At 36.5% G+C, this 17,352-nt stretch overlaps 1 protein-coding gene and 1 long non-coding RNA gene across 8 annotated transcripts in view; one reads left to right on the forward strand and one right to left on the reverse strand.

Moving 5' to 3' along the window:
• Window positions 1-17,352, forward strand: part of BMP2K (BMP2 inducible kinase) — a 140,016-nt gene that overhangs the window by 23,640 nt on the left and 99,024 nt on the right. Inside the window, exon 1 of one of the 7 annotated variants that reach the window (XM_047415931.1) lies at window positions 10,660-14,686. The exons of the other annotated variants lie outside the window; for them this stretch is intronic. Within the exon in view, the coding sequence (XP_047271887.1) occupies window positions 14,677-14,686 (10 nt within the window). The 5' untranslated portion in view covers window positions 10,660-14,676. Of the gene's footprint in view, window positions 1-10,659; window positions 14,687-17,352 lie in introns of those variants that run through there. 7 annotated transcript variants of the gene reach the window in all.
• Window positions 1-17,352, reverse strand: part of LOC105377299 (uncharacterized) — a 38,333-nt gene that overhangs the window by 10,256 nt on the left and 10,725 nt on the right. Inside the window, exon 2 of the long non-coding RNA XR_938918.4 lies at window positions 10,579-10,746. This is a non-coding gene — a long non-coding RNA (uncharacterized LOC105377299). The remainder of the gene's footprint in view (window positions 1-10,578; window positions 10,747-17,352) is intronic.

Consider the following 17,352-nt stretch of genomic DNA (forward strand, 5'->3'; position numbering starts at 1 on the left):
GCCGTACTCTGACAAGGTTGAGCTGTCTTTGCAAAGGAGAAATTATACAAACTTTTACTCTTTCAATTTGAAAGTCTTGTTTGTCTTCAGTAACATCAAGATAAACCTATTTGAACAATTGTAGAGTGTGCTTTTCTTTGGACTCAGGCAGAATGTATAAATATGTATCTGTTTTCTGGGCCATGGTTTGGGTATCAGGTCTTGAAGTAATAGATAGTGGCTCTATGCTGATACTTTGGCTCTGTGATGAGACTTTTCTCAGTAGTCCTATCCTCCCCTTCTGAAGTAATTACAGAAGGCTGTGTTTACTTGGCACTTGAGATAGTTATACAAAGTGCATGCATAAGCATCAACATGTTAGGGCTAGTATAGTGATACAGGATAGTGGTCAGGAGGAGTTAACAAAGCCCATATGGCACACTCTCTATCTTCTGTGACTTAATTACCATGTTTCCTAACCTACCCATACACATTCAGTAATACAAATTTTGGTGGTCTTTGTTTGCTAGTCTTAGACTGTCCTGTATAGTTTTAATTCTACTTTAATGAGCCGTATACTGGAATGTAGTTATGTCTGTAACTTGTTTAGTGTCAGGTTAATTTCTAGATGTTCCAAAAAATACATTTTTTATTTTGTATTCTGTAATAATTTCATGTTAATACTTTAAATTGGAATAGTTTAAACTACAGCTGTCTTTAAAGCTTGGAGATAGAGCTCTTTTTAATAAAATTAGAATGTGTATTATAAACATCTAAAAAATGGCAAACTCAACTCATGTTAATGGTTTTAGATTGAATTGCTTTGTTTGTATACAAGTGTTTAAATACAATAAATGTAATATTACATTTATTAAGTATCAAATGTAAATACCGAAATTGTATTTCATGTAGAGAAATTTTTAGAGGATGAATACATTTAAACATTTAATAGACCTTTCCTTTCAGTGTATTTCAAAAGTTTTAACAAAGATTTTCTGTTCACCCTAATAGCAGTTGTCTAAAATATTTTTAAGATGGAGGTAGCTTATTCCATAATGCTCAATGAACTTTTCTTCCTTTACTTGTTGTTGGTGTTTTACCTGTTGGTTATTCCCCTGCAGTCTCTCTGTGTAATGGATCTATGCACAAATTACCCATAGCTCTATTTCTGTAAACCAGGCTTCCTTGCTTCTATTGTAGACATGATATCTAACTATTAAAATCTATTTTTAGATTTTTACAAACCTGAATTTCTCACCAAGTCAGCTTCTCTTGTTTGAATAGGTGGCCCAATCCTAGATACTCAAGTGAGAAATGAATTCACTTGCCATGTCTTTTCTGTGAATTATCTTTATTGCCTGGATGGTTGAAGTAGCTGTGTGTGTGTGTGTGTGTGTGTGTGTGTGTGTGTGTGTCATAAGTAACAGAGAAATAACTTTCCATTGTAAGATAAACAGTGTAAGGCAAAAGTTGTTTAACCTTCCCTACCCCTACTCCCCTCTTAACAGTCGCTATGTATTGTTTTGAGACCTTTTTTCTTTATACTGAAATAGCTTTCTAATTTGTCTCCCAATTCTGATCTTGACTCCTTGTCAATCTCTTCAAACGGTGCTTTCTCATTATAGGTTTAATTCTTTTTCTTGCTTTGTTTTGGAATGCTTAAGGTTCTCTTTTCTCCATTTTATTTCTTGCCCTCTGCTATCTGGAAGACATATATACTTTTTCTGTTGTTTTAGTGGTGGTTTATCCCAGTAAGACTAAAGTTATAACTCTGTGCCTCACCTGTGTAAGAACCTTAGAATGCTCTAACTCCTGTCACTGTCTTCTCTCCTCTTGAGAGGATATGCCATTGTTCTTATGATATGACATTGTTTGTGATTTTACATCTATCGTCACTTTTTAAAAAATCTACAGTTTAGAAATTAGGCTTATTTTACAAGCCAGTGTTTAACAGCTATGATCTTTGTGACTCTTTCTTGTATGTTGAGAAAGAAGGTCTTGTATGATCTTCCATCTAGGCTCAATTACTTTCAGTCTGACACTCTCTCCTTTAGTGAAGGCCATTTTTTGTTAGCTTGAGAAGTCTTTATTTTAACTTCATTCTAGAAAGAGTTTTGCTCGATATAGACTTCTCTGCAGATAGTTATTTTCTTTTAGCATTTGAAGGTGTCATTTCACTGCCTTCTTCGTTTTGCTGTTGAGAAGTTGGTAGTTGTGGGCAATTTCACATTGAGGCTAAAGTGCTTTGTGGGTCTAGACTTTATGTGGTGATCCCAGTGTGACCTTCTTACTCTTATGTTGGCCTTTGGCTGTCATCCAGTTTATGGATTGATGCTTTCTTCTTGTTTTTGTCTCGAAAGAATTGTCTTGATCTGCTTCCATGATTATTTTGTCCAGAATTTTAAACACTGCTTTTCCAGGAAAGCTTTTTCTGAACCTGTAATCTGCCACGTTTCTAGGAGCAGAAATTGCAATTTAAATTTTAACATAGTCAAACTTACAAGTTTTCATCTTTTTGATGTTTTTATACCTAAATAAGAAATTATTTTCTACCTTGAAGTTATACATACAGTCTCCTAAATATATGTATTAAGACCTGGAATGTTTATCTTTTAATAGTTATATCTTTAAGTCATCTGAAATTTGTATTTGATGTGTTATGAGGTAAAGATCAAATCCCTCTGACTACCCCAGTTGTTATAGCCAAATGTTTACTGGTTCCTTCCCCAATGATCTCTGATGTCATTTATCAACTTTTTGTAGTTTTTATGTATACACAACTCTGTTTTTGAGCTTGCTCTATTATATTCTATAGTCCTTTGTTTATCTCTGCACCATTATTATATAATCGAATCAGCATTTATAATCTTTTTTTTTTTGTTCTCTTTTTTGTTTTTTTGAGGCAGAGTCTTGCTCTGTTGCCCAGGCTGAAGTGCAATGGCACATTCCTGGCTCACTGCAACCTCCGCCTCCCAGGTTTATGCAGTTCTCCTGCCTCAGCTTTCCAAGTTGCTGGGATTACAGGCGCCTGCCACCACGCCCAGCTAATTTTTGTATTTTTAGTAGAGATGGGGTTTCACCATGTTGGTTAGGCTGGTCTCGACCTCCTGACCTCAAGTGATCCACCCTCCTCGGCCTCCCAAAGTGCTGGGATTGCAGGCGTGAGCCACCACACTGGGCCAGAGTTTATAATCTTGATAATTGTTAAAGTGACTAACCCCACTTCATCTTATTCCTTTAACATTCCTTTATATTTTATATAAAAATATATATACCCCCCTCCTTTTTTGGTAACTTCTTTAATGTCTTTTATTAAAGTTTTATAATTCCCTCATAAAGCTCTCACGTGTCTTCTATTTGATTTAATCCTTGATTTTTAAAAATTGCTATTAAAAATAGTAGCTTTATTTTTGTTTCAGTGTCTCTTGGTTACTTTTTTTGGGGGGGATCAGAGTCTTGCTCTGTCACCCAGGATGTAGTGCAGTGGTGCAACCTCAGCTTACTGCAACCTCTGATTCCCATGCCTCAGCCACCTGAGTAGCTGGGATTACAGATGTGTACCACCACTCCCTGCACATTTTTGTATTTTTAGTAGAGATGGGGTTTCGCCATGTTGTCCAGGCTGGTCTTGAACTCCTGGCTTCCAGTGATCCACCCACCTCAGCCTCCCAAATTGCTGGGATTACAGGTGTGAGCCACCATGCCTGGCTGTTTACTTTTTAATAGGAATGCCATTACTAGAGAATTACTTTCCTGAGCAAATCTGATGAATATCAACCTTTGATTAACATTTTTCTGTTGTTTTCTAATCTCCTGTAGGGTGAGTTATGAACCTAAGAGCATAATATATGATGATCCTTCATGATTAGGATCATGTGTACCTTTTTATCATGCCTCATCTCCCATAACTTCATATTCTGAGATCTGTGCTTCAGTTATATAGAACTAGTTTCAGTCTGGAACTGAATCTCTTATACTCTGATTTTTTAAATTATTGAGACATAATTAACATATCATAAACTTTACCCTTTTAAAGTATAAAACTTAGTGATTTTAGTGTATTTACTTTGTTGTGAAACACCACCACTAATTCTAGAACATTTTCATCAACCCCCAAAGAAACCCGGTAGTCATTAGAACTTACTTTCCATTCCTCCCTCCCCACCCCAAACTCTTGTAATCACTAGTCTATTTTCTGTCTCTATGGATTTGTCTATTCTGGGCATTGCATGTAAATGGAATCATATGATAATGTGGCCTCCTGTGCCTGGCTTCTTTCATTTAGCATGTTTTAAGTTTCATTCATGTTTTAACATGCATTCATTCTTTTTTATGGCTGAATATTCCTTTATATGAATAATACATTTTGTTTATTAATCAGTTAGTGGACATTTAGCTTGTTTTTGCTTTTTGGCTATTATGAACATTTACGTAAAATTTTTTGCGTGGATATATATTTTAGATTGTTCTACACTTGATACCTAGGAGTAGATTTTCTGAGTCATATGGTAGCTTTATGTTTAACTTTTTGAGGACCTACTATATTTTTCCATAATGGTTGCACAATTTTAATTTCCCACCAGCAATTTATGAGGTTTTCCAATTTCTTCATATCCTTGCCAACATGTCTTCTGTCATTTTGATCATAGCCATCTTAGTATGAAGTGGTATCTCATTATGGTTTTGATTCATCAGTCAGGTTCCTAATGACTGATGTTGAGCATCTTTTCATGTGCTTATTGGCCATGTGTGTATCTTTTTTTTTTTTTGGACAAATTTCTATTCTGCTTTTTGTAAAATTGGGTTGTCTTTTTATTGTTCAGGGATAAGCGTTCTTCATAGATTCTGGATACTAGATTTTTATTAGATATAGAATTTGCAAATATCTTCTCCCATTATTTGGATTATCTTTTTGCTTTCTTGATAGTGTCTTCAAAAATTTTAAATTTTGATGAATTTTAATTTATTATTTTTTGGTTGCATATGCTTTTGATATGTTAATGTCAAAAAATCATTGCCTAATCCAAGGTTTGAAGATTTACACCTATGTTTTCCTCCAAGAGTTTTATAATTTTAGCTCTTATTTAGGTCTTTGTTCCATCTGGAGTTAGTTTTTGTATATGATGTGAGTTATAGGTCAAACTTCATTCATTTGCATGTTAATAGCCAGTTGTTCCAGCACCATTTATTGAAAAGGTTAGTCTTTCCTCATTGAATTCTTTTGGCACCCTTGTTGAAAATCAATTGATCATAAAAGTATGGGTGAATTTCTAGGCTCTGAGTTCTTTTCCATGATCTACATAAGTGTTACCTTCTACCAGTACCACACTGTCTTGATTGCTGTAGCTTTGCAGTACATTTTGAAACTGGGAAGTGTGAGTCCTCTAACTTTGCTTTTTTTCAGGTTGTTTTGGCTGTTTTGGGTCCTTTGAATTTTCATATGTATGTTTGGATGAGTTTGTTCAGTTCTGAAAGACAGGGATTTGATAAATAATTTTTGAAGTATTTCAATCCAGTCTTTCAGTCTATGAGTGAGGAATGTCTGTTTATTTAATAGGTCCTTAATTTCTTTCAATGATGTTTTATAGTTTTCAGCATACAAATTTTTATTAAGTTTATTACTAAATATTTTATTATTTCTGATACCTTTGTCAATAGAAGTGTTTTCTTAATTTATTTCAGATTGTTCATTGCTAGTGTATAGAAATACAGTTCCTTTAGGCTGGGTGTGGTGGCTCACACCTGTAACCCCAGCACTTTGGGAGGCTGAGGCGGGTGGATCACAAGGGTCAGGAGTTTGAGACCAGCCTAGCCAACATAGTGAAACCTCGTCTCTACTAAAAATACAAAAAATTAGCCGGGCACGGTGGCGGGCGTTTGTAGTTCCAGCTAATTGGGAGGCTGAGACAGGAGAATCACTTGAATCCGGGAGGCGGAGGTTGCGGTGAGCCAAGATTGCACCACCGCACTCTAGCCTGGGCGACAGAGTGAGACTCCATCTCACAAAAAAGAAAAAGAAATACAATTGCTTTAAATTTTTTTTTTCATTTTTTTATGGCCTGTGACACATCCTCTAGAGATCCTGAGAACATGAGCTCCTACAAATTGCTTTTTAACTAATTATCTTATATCCTGCAACCTGCTGAACTTGTTTATTAGCTCTGATAGGGGGTGTGTGTGTGTGTATTCTTATAGGTTTTCCTATGTATATATTTAAATTTTTAGGATAATTTTTTTTTTGGAGGCAGGATCTTACTGTGTTGCCCAGGCTGAAGTGCAGTGGCACAACCTAGAACTCCTGGACTCATGCATTCCTCCAGCCTCAGCCTTCTAAATAGCTGGGACTACAGGCACATGTTACTATGCCCAGTGAATTTAAAATTTTTTTTTGTAGAGGTAGAGTCTTGCTATGTTGTGCAGGCTGGCCTTGAACTCCTGGCTTCAAGCAGTCCTCCTGCCTTGGCCTACCAGAGCACTGGGATTACAGGTATGAGGTATCATGCCCGGTCTGTATGTATAAGATGACATCTACAAATAGAGACAGATTTACTTCTTTTCAATCTGGATGACCTTTTAAAGTTTTTCCTACCTAAATTGCTTGGGCTAGAATCTTCTCCACAATATTGAATAGAAGTGGTGAGACATAAATATATATACCTGCTGTGTATCAACCAAAATTTAAAAAAAAGTGGTGGTGAGAAAAGACATCCTTGTTCCTGATCACAGGGAGAAAGCTTTCAGTCTTTCACCATTAAGTATAATGTTAGCTGTGGGATTTTTGTAGATTTCCTTTATCATATTGAGAAGGTTGCCTTCTATTCCTAGTTTGTTGACTGTTGTTATCATGAAGTGGTGGTGGATCTTATCTTTTCTTTTTTTTTTTTTTTTAAATATTTTTGAGACAGTATCTCACTCTTTTACTCAGGCTGGAGTGCAGTGGCATGTCCTCGGCTCACTGCAACCTCCACCTCCCAGGTTCAAGCAATTCTTCCTGCATCAGCTTCCCGAGTAGCTGGGATTACAGGCGCCTGCTACCACCCCCAGCTAATTTTCGTATTTTTTTAGTAGAGATGGGGTTTAGCCATGTTGGCCAGGCTGGTCTTGAACTCCTGACCTCAGGTGATCCTCCTGCCTTGGCCTCCCAAAGTGCTGGGATTATAGGTGGGAGCCACCGTGCCTGGCTGGGTGGTGGATTATTTTCAAATTTTTTCCCTGCATTTATTGAGATGATCATGTGATTTTCTTCCTTTATTCTTTTAATACGTTTTATTACATTGGTTGATTTTTGGATGCTGAACCAACCTTGCATTCCTGGGGTAAATCTCACTTGGTCATGGAATGTAATCTTTTTTTAATGTATGCTGGATTTGGTTTGCTAGTATTTTGTTGGATTTTAACATCTATACTCAAGGGATATTGGTCTGTATTTTTTTTTCTTGTGATTTATTTTTCTGGCTTTCATAGAGTAAGTGACAAAACGTTTCCTTCTCTTCTATTTTTTTGGAGAATTTTTTGAGGATTGGTGTTAATTCATCTTTAAACATTTGATGGAATTTATTAGTAAAGCCATCTAGTCTTGGGCTTTTCTTTTTTTCTTTTTTCTTTTTTTTTATTACTAACTCAATCTCTTTACTTGTTATAGGTCTGTTTAAATGTTCTATTTCTTTTATCAAATTGATAATTTGTATCTTTCTAGGAATTTATCGGTTTCACCCAAGATATCTAATTTGTTGGCATAAAATTATTAACCCTATAATTGCCTTACAATCCTTTTGATTTCTTTAATGTCAATAGTAATATCCCCTTTTATATCTAATTTGTTGGCATAAAATTATTTACCCTGTAATTGCCTTATAATCCTTTTGATTTCTTTAATGTCAACAGTAATATCCCCTTTTTATTCCTGATTATATTAATTTGTTTTTCTAGTTTTTTCTTGGCCAGTTTAGCTAATGGTTTGCCAGTTTCAGTTTTGATTTCTCTATACTTTTTTTATTTCACTTATTTGTTTCACTTATTTCCACCCTAATTTTTGTTATTTCCTTTCTTCTTCTTTGGGAATAGTATGTCTTGGCTTTTCCTAGGTTTTATTTATTTTTTTTTCGAGATGGAGTCTCGCTCTGTTGCCCAGGCTGGAGTGCAGTGGTGTGATCTTGGCTCACTGCAACCTCTGCCTCCTGGGTTCAAGCCATTCTCCTGTCTCAGCCTCCCGCGTAGCTGGGACTACAGGTGCCTGCCACCACTTTTTCTAGTTTTTAACATCAGAAGTTACATTATTGATTTGAGATCTTGCTTCCTTTTTTTTTTTTTTTTTTGAGACTGAGTCTCGCTGTGTTGCCTAGACTGGAGTGCAGTGATGTGATCTCGGCTCACTGCAAGCTTCACCTCCTGGGTTCACACCATTCTCCCGCCTCACCCTCCTGAGTAGCTGGGACTACAGGCACCTGCCACCGCACCCGGCTAATTTTTTTTATTTTTACTAGAGACGGGGTTTTCACCATATTAGCCAGGATGGTCTCAATCTCCTGACCTTGTGATCCGTCCGCCTCAGCCTCCCAAAGTGCTGGGATTACAGGCGTGAGCCACCATGCCCGGCCGCTTCCTTTTTTAATACAGGTGTTTTATAGCTATAAAATTCCCTCTAGGAACTACTTTAACTGCATTTTGTTAAGTTTTGGCGTGCTGTTTTTTAAATTTTGATTCACCTGAAAGTATTTTCTCATTTCCCTTGTGATTGCTTCTTTGATGCATTGGTTATTTGAGTGTTTTCTTTAATATCCATATGCTCTTGAATTTCTCAAATTTCTTTTTTTTATTGATTTCTAATTTACTTTTATTGTGGTTGGAATATACTGTATGTGATTTCAGTCTTTTTAAATTTATGGAGGCCAGTTTTATGTTCTAACATGCTGTATCCTGGAGAACGTTCTGTGTGGACTTGATAAATGTGCATTTTGCTGTTGTTGAGGGGAATGTTCTATAAATGTCTGTTAGGTCTAGTTGGTTTATAGTGTTCTTCAAGTCTTATTTTCTTGTTCATCTTCTGTCTCCTTGTTCCATTCATTATTGAAAGAGGAGTATTGAATTCTCCAACTACTATTGTATAATTATCTGTTTCTCTCCTCAATTCTGTCAGTTTTTGCCTCATGCATTTTGGGGCTTTGTTGTTAGTGTATATATGTTTGTAATATATCTTTCTGATGGATTGGCTCTTTTGTCATTTCTTTTATTTCTAATGCATTTCCTTGTCTTTAGTCACAATTTTTGTCTGAAAGTCTAATTTGTCTGATATTAGTATAGCTACTCTAGCCCTTTCTTTGGTTATTATATACATGGTGTTACCATCCTTTTAGTTTTAATCTACTTGTGCCTTTTAATCTAAAGTGTTTTTTTTTTCGTGTGTTTGTTTTTTGTTTTATTTTTTCTTGAGACAGGGTCTGGCTCTGTCACCCAGGCTGGAGTGCAGTGATATGACCTTGGCTCACTGCAGCCTTGACCTCCTGAACTTAAGCAGTCCTCCCATCTCTGCCTCCTGAGTAGCTGGGACCACAGACATGCACCACCACACCTGGCTAATTATTTTTATTGTCTTGTACAGACGAGGTTTCACTGTGTTGCCCAGTCTGGACTTGAACTCCTGAGCTCATGTGACTTTTCTGCCTTGGTCTCCCAGGGTGTTGGAATTATAAATGTGAGCCACTGTGCCTGGTTTAAAGTGTTTTTTTTTTTTTTTAAATAATTTCTGACTCTTTATTAACATTCTCTACTTGGTGAGCCATCATTTTCATACCTTACTTTAGTTCTTTAGACATGGTTTTTATTAGTTCTTTGAACATATTTGTTGTAGCTGATTTAAAGTCTTTGTCTAATAAGTCTAACATGGGTTTTCTCAGAGACAGTTTCTGTTGACTTGCTTTCTCTCTATATGGACTATACTTTTCTGTTTCTTTGCATGTCTTATAATTTTTTGTTGAAAATTGTACGTTTGAAATAATTGTAATGTGGCAACTCTGGAAACTGGATTCCTCTACTCTCAGGATTTTTTGTTGTTGTTGCTGTTTGTTTACTGACTTTCCTGTACTAATTCTGTGAAGTCTGATCCCCCACTCTGTGGGTTGCCACTGAAGTCTGCTCAGATTAGTGGTCAACTAATGATTGGACAGAGGTTTCCTTAAACACCTGGGACTAATAAGTCTTCTAGCTTTTGCTGAGGGTGTGTGTTGGGGCATGAATTCAATACTCCAATGCAGTTTATAGCTCCTCGTGAGCCTTCTTTCTTTTGCAGAGCCTTAAAGACATCCAGAGGTAAGAGGCTAGGTCCTTCTCAGTTCTTTCCTGGGCGTGCACACTCTACCATACATGTGTGTGGCCTCTAGATTACTAGGAGCTAGAGCTTTTCAAAGAGTTTTTCGAAGCCCCTGTAGATATCTCATTCCTACTTCGACTTAAGTTTTTTGGTCGACCTCTTTTTATCTGTAGCTATTATCACTGCCTATGACAGCTACAATATTATACAATTGCTGCTGATTGTTTTAAACAGATGCCCTGGTGATAGGGCTTTTTGCACAGAGTGCCGAGTCAGGTCACATAAAGACAAACCTGGAGAATGGAGCTTTTCCAGGTAGCTGACTGACAGGTCTAACAGTGACAAGTCTTGGGCTTTTTGGTGAGCTCTAAACCTGTTTTGTTTCCTCCAGTGGTTGCTAGGTTGGTAGTTTTCACAGCTACTGTGGTTGTGAGCTGTATGGCTTGAAGGCTATCATGGAGCTGGAGAGAGAAGGATGGGAATAAAGCAAGTTAAAATGCTGCAAAGCTTGCTGTTTTTACTGAGATTCATCCAATATTCTTGAATAAAAACATTGTTACAAGGCTTTAGCTAATTTCTAGGGTTGTGAAAAAGTTGATTTTGACAATTTTTGCCAGTATCCTCATTGCTTTTTTTAATAAAGGAGCAAATTTTTGGAGGTTGTTACTTTTCCATTGTGTAAGTGCTTCACTTCTGATATTTTTATACGTGTTTTTCCTTTCAAGCTTTACCTCTTTGGAAAGTACTATATACTCTTCTGTGATTCAGCTCACATATTAATACTACTTTTTCAGTGATACCTTTTCTAATTTCCCTGCATGTACCTCACTTTTTGTTTTTGTGTGCCTTAAACGTAACTCTTTTACTGCACTTGTGGTATTTCATTTGTTTATCTTTATTGCCTGTTAGATTGTAGGGATACTTTAGATTACTTTCTGTCTCTCATTCCTAAAAGCTGAAGAATCCTTGGAGTTTATCTGTAGTTGTTAACATGAATTACAAATGAGGAGGCTGAAGCCTAGAGAGGGTAGGACAGTAAACCCTTGACTGAGTATTTTGCGGCAGGTGTGTCTCTAAAATATGCTTTCTACTAATTGTGTAGTACATAATAATTTTATATTCATTAATGCTATTAATTTATATTAAAGTTATGGTTATATGTACTGCTAGATATTTGTAAATGAAAACAAGTCTATCTTATTAGAATTTCACATGTATGCATATGCAGGTAAGACCATGCGATTACAAATGCAAGGCTAGTTAATTTTAAACATAATAGGAGCTTCTCCCTTTTCTTCTTCTTTCTGAATTTTATAAAAGTAACAACAAAATTGATGTATATGTGTGTATAAGGTAATAAGCTTAATCTTTTAGCTAAATGTACAAACAAATGAGTGCTGTTTTACCAAGTAATTGTTAGCAAGCAGGTCTATTTTTATCCATTTATAAAGATATTTCTTACAAAACATTTTGGAAGTCATTTAAGACATTTCTCTCGGCCAATTTATAAAATACACAGCTTAATTTGTTGACCCATCATGTATTGGCTTACAAAAACCCATATTTTCCCTCCTCCATCAAAAACTCTCTCTCTTCATTTAACTGACTCGGTTAGGGATTACTTATAACTGTTACTGAAGTTCTATCTAGTCTCAAGAAGTGGGAAATTTCCCACACTGAAGTTATTTTTTAAAAAGTTTTTTTTTTGTTTTTTTAAAGACAGAGTCTCGCTCTTATCACCCAGGCTAGAGTGGAGTGGCATGAACTCGGCTTACTGCAACCTCCATCTCCCAGGTTCAAGTGATTCTCTTGTCTCAGCCTCCTGAGTAGCCACAGGTGTGCACCACCACGCCTGGCTAATTTTTGTATTTTTAGTAGAGACAGAGTTTCACCATGTTAGGCCAGGCTGGTCTCAAACTCCTGACCTCACGTGATCCACCCACCTCGGCCTCCCAAAGTATTAGGACTACAGGCGTGAGCCACTGTGCCTGGCCTTTAATGGGAATTTTTTTTTAAGATGCAGGAATATAACAATTCCCCTTCTCTCAGCTATAAATGATGATAGATCTTAAAAACTAAGCTACAAATAAGGATAATGCCCAAATACATATCTCTTGTTTTTATCTCTTCTGTGAACTTTACTCTTGGAATTCTAATCACCAATTTCACATCTCCTATTGGATGTCCAGTAGGCATCTCTAACTTGGTATGTCCAAAACTGTGCTGTTGATATTCTGCCTACACCTTCTCTGTTGTCTGTCAAGACCTGTTAAAAGTCTGAAATTTTACCCTACTAAGTCTCCTTCCCCGGGGGAAGACTTATTACCCATTAAAGATTCTGATTCTCTAAACTCAGGGTTGTTTTCATGTAATGCAACCCACTGCATATGAAGGTATCACCTGGCCCTTTTCCATAACCCTGTGGGAATTAAGGCTGTGAGAAATATAGCAAAGTGCTGTTAATCTGGCTAAGACTATTTGGCTGTGGTGGCTCATGCTTGTGATCACAGCACTTTGGGAGGCCAAGGCAGGAGGATCACTTGAGCCTAGGAGTTGGAGACCAGCCTGGGCAACATAGTGAGGCCCCCCACACCCCCATCTCTACCAAAAAATTAAAAAACTTAGCTGGCATGGTGGTGTGTGCCTGTAGTTCCAGCTATTTGGGAGGCTGAGGTGGGAGGATCGCTTGAGCCTGGAGGATCAAGGCTGCAGTTAGCTATGATCATGCCACTGCACTCCAGCCTGGGCAACAGAGTGAGACCTTTTCTCAAAAGGAAAAAAAAAAAGATATGCAGAAACACATGAGACCCATTTGAAATAAGTCAGCAGTCTTCTCCATCTCATTTGATGACTTTGTTCTTCTATTTCCTCAGTCCAAAAGCCCTGAAACCTTGCAGTTATTTTAAACTGTTTTTCTCTCATATCCAGTCATTCAGGAAATCGTATCAGGTCTGCCTTCAAAATATATCTAGAATTCTTTCATTTCTCACTAATTCCCACTGCCCTGATCAAAACCACTATTAAATTGCAGCAGATTTACTGATTTCCCTGCTTCTGATCTTGTCTGTCTTCACTCTGTTCTTCACACAGTGGTCATATTAAAATTTGAGTCCAGTCATGCCACTCCTTTGCTGAGAACCCTCTAGTAGCTTTCCATTTCTCTTGGAGCAAAAGCCAGTGACATTACCCTCATCCGTAATAAGACTTTGCATGATCTGGCTCTCTGTTTACTCTGACCTCTCTTATTTTACTCCCCATTATTTATTCTGCTCTAGGCTTTCTGATCCCTTTGCTGTTCCTCAAACTTATCAACCATGCCTCCTGCCTTAGGGCCTTTGCACTTCTGTTCTCTTTACCTGGAATGTACTTGCCTCGAGGTCTGCATGGCCCATTCCCTCACTTTCTTCCTATCTTTACTCAAAGTCACCTCAGGTCTTCCCCATGTACCTTGATTAAACATTTCAGCCTCCTCCATCCTTCTCCCAACACAATTTTCCAAGGGACCATCTAATCTTGATTTAATTTTTTTCTTCTCAGGACTTACCGTTGTCTTCTATGTACTGTATATTTTACTTGTTTATTTTGTTTCAGTCATTCTAGAATGTAAGCTCACAAGGGCAGTTCTCTGATTTGCTTGTAGTTAGTCTTGTTCATAGCACGTAGATCAGTATTTGGCACATTCTGAGCATTTAATATATATTGTTGAATGAATAAATGAATTACTAAATGGTGTAGTTTCTTTGACTTGAAGCAGATGCTCCAGCAATGTAAGAATGAGTCTAGGGGAGTGTGAAAAAGCAAAATGGGGACTTGGAATGAGATGAAAAGTAGTGTTTTGTAGTGGGTGAAGGTAGGGAAATGTTCCTTGGCAGTGGTGACATGGTGTAGACATCTGTTTCCCTCTGTCCTCAAGAATTACTCCTTTTTGAGTTAAAAATGGCATTTTCTTTTTCTCATGCTCATGCCGTTGCAAATGCTATTCTCTGCCCTGTGCTTGAGCTCTTCCTCCCTTACTGTCCTATTATTATCCATCTTTCAGGTTCTACCTTCTTTAATTGATTCTTTAATCGTTTCATATATTTGTGTTCTTTTTAAAACATTAGCCTGTTGATATGGTTTGACTGTGTCCACACCCAAATCCCATCTTGAATTGTAGTCCCTATAATCCCCACATGTCATGGGAGGGACCCGTTGGGAAGTAATTTAATCATGGGGGCAGTTTCCTCTGTGCTGTTCTCATGATAGTGAGTGAGTTCTCACAAGATCTGATGGTTTTATAAGGGGCTTTTCCCCCTTTTGCTTAGCACTTCTGCTTGCTGCTGCCATGTGAAGAAGGACGTGTTTGCTTCCCCTTCTGCCATGATTGTAAGTTTCCTGAGGCCTCTCCAGCCATGATGAACTGTGAGTCAATTAAACTTTTCCTTTATCAATTACCCAGCCTTGGGTATGTCTTTATTAGCAGTGTGAGAACAGACTAATACACTTGTCAAGGGCAAAAAAAAATTATATATTACAGATTTTTTCCCTTTCATAACTTTTTAAAAAAAATATAGTTTGCTGCTCTTGATGCCTTTACTACATTTGATATTATTATATTCACATCTAGAGACTGGCACTTTAATTTCATAGTGGCTTAATTCTAAGATTCTTTCATTTGGCTGATTGATAAAGGAGCTTAACTAATTTTTCAATGTTTTTTTCCCCCAATTTGGGAAATTGGATGAACACTCCAACTTTAAGAGCAATGAATGAAATTAGATGAGGACTCCAATTTTCAGGGTAATGATGAGAAAGGATGTGTTTCCTGAAAATAAAGGTCATTCCTTTTCTCCTGTTACTACTTTATCTTTAGGCCTCATATTGTTTCATTTTTAGACCACTATGGTCAGTCGAAACTATACACTTTGGTGTGAAATTGGTATCTTAATTCTGGCTCTGCTATTGATAGTCATGATCTTGAAGAACTTGCTAAAATCCTCAGAGCTTACTATCATTTCTATTTTTAAAAAGTAGAGGAATAAAGTTAATGCCAAAAATATGTGTTAAGAATTAAATGAGGTAATTATGTGAAGGTATAGCATGAAGCCTGGTACATGAAAACCCATAAAATATTTTGATTTACTTCTTTTTAAGTATAAAGAGGTAATTTCTCTTCAGGAAGAAGAGAGATGATAGCCTAATTTGAAGTAATATTAAGAATTAATTGGTAAATTTGAAGTATTTTTTAAAGGATGGAATCAAAAGGATTTTGATATGTTGCATGGCAAGAGAGAAATCGCCTGGGGAAAAACATACTTTGTTTCTTGTTCTTTTTCTTCCAATTTTGTTGTGAAAAAAATTAAAATATACAGAAGTTGAAAGAGTGGTACAGTGAATAATATGCCCATCACATACATTCAATTACTAATAACATTTTACCACATTTCCTTTATACATTTTTACAACATGTGGGTAATTTTGAATAGGGACTGTACAAGATAATAATTATTTTCTTAGGTAGGACAGAGGGTATTATAGTTTTATATAGAATAATATATGGACTTTTAGGATATACATGTGTTTAAGTACTCATTAAGCATTAGTGGGTAAATTACAAGAATTTCATGGAGGATGGAAACTTAAAAAAATATTGATGAGTAAAGTGACATGATGTATACAGATTGCTTTCAAATAGTTGGGCACCAACAACAAACATGTTTTACAGTTGTTTCTTTGAAACTGGAATTCAGTCAAGGATTACGTATTGCATAGAATGACCCTCACTCGCTCTAAAAAATGGGTCACATTGACTCTTTTCTAGTTATCTTGTATAGCGTTCCACGTCTAGCTTTGTCTGATTTCTTCTTTCTGTAATCATTTTCCTCTTTCTGGCTCCTGTATGTTTTTGGTAACGTGAAGTTAAACCTTAAGGTTTTTTCAGGCTAAAGGTTTTTTGGCAAGGGTACTTCATAGGCGATGCTGTTTACTTTATACTGCATCACATTAAGAAACATATAATGTCAGGTTGTCCCAGTGATAGTGACTACCAGATCTCTGCCTTGTAAAGTGATGTTTTTCCTTTCATACTTGGGTACTATATGAATATCCTGTTTATTAACCTTTCATCTATGATTTTAGCATACATTGATGATCCTTGGTGAATCAATTTTTAAATATTCTACTCATTTTTTTCTACTCACTTTGATACTTTTTCTCCCAATTTCACTAACAGTGTCTTGTCATTTTTGGGAATGAGTAATTGGGCAAGAAAATGCATGGAAAACTACAGTTACAGAAAACATTTAATGGTATCTACTTTTATTTGACTTCTTCCAAGATGGATTTTCAGTTCTTTGTAAATAAAGTACTGGTTAAGACCTGAGAGATGTTCACTAAGTGCAAATTATGCTGGACTAAATTAATTTCTTGTAGTGAATCGATCACTTTTACTTGTCATGTCAAAGAAATTAGTGTATGTTAGTTATAATAAAGCATTTAAAAAATTCCCTCTTATGGGAAATCAGAGGCGCTTGGTTAATTCATAGGTAACTGGACACATTGATTATTCATCGTGTATTTACTATTGTATGAAGCCCTTCTCAAGTTGCTTAATGCATAGCAGAAGAGACATATTGATAGTCAGCTTATGGTCTGGACAGGAATTTGTGTTTTCAAGAAATGCAGTACAACCTGAAAGGAAGTCTAATTGTATGGACAAACAAATATTTAAAAATTTATCAAGTACTCATTAATTCATATTACATGTCTCTGAAATATTTGGTACTGATTTTGAGGACCATTTGGCTTCTTGACAATCAGTTTTGAATATTGGATAGATTTAAAGCTTCTTAAATGTTAGTTGAATGCATACTTCTCATCTTCCTAAGCAGAAGATAAAATACATCCATAACTATTATTCCTGAGTAAATAGCTGTGTTCCAAAAACAATTCTCTGACACCAACTGGGTATCCAACAATTCCATTCAATTCTGACACTTAACTGTTCAGAGTTAGCACAGACTCCACAGGTTAAGGGACATAGTCCAACAAGACTACCCCCACTTCAAACACCAGCTCTAAGTCTTAGG

The sequence above is a fragment of the Homo sapiens genome, chromosome 4 (assembly GCF_000001405.40).
Source record: "Homo sapiens chromosome 4, GRCh38.p14 Primary Assembly".
Lineage (NCBI taxonomy): Eukaryota > Metazoa > Chordata > Mammalia > Primates > Hominidae > Homo > Homo sapiens.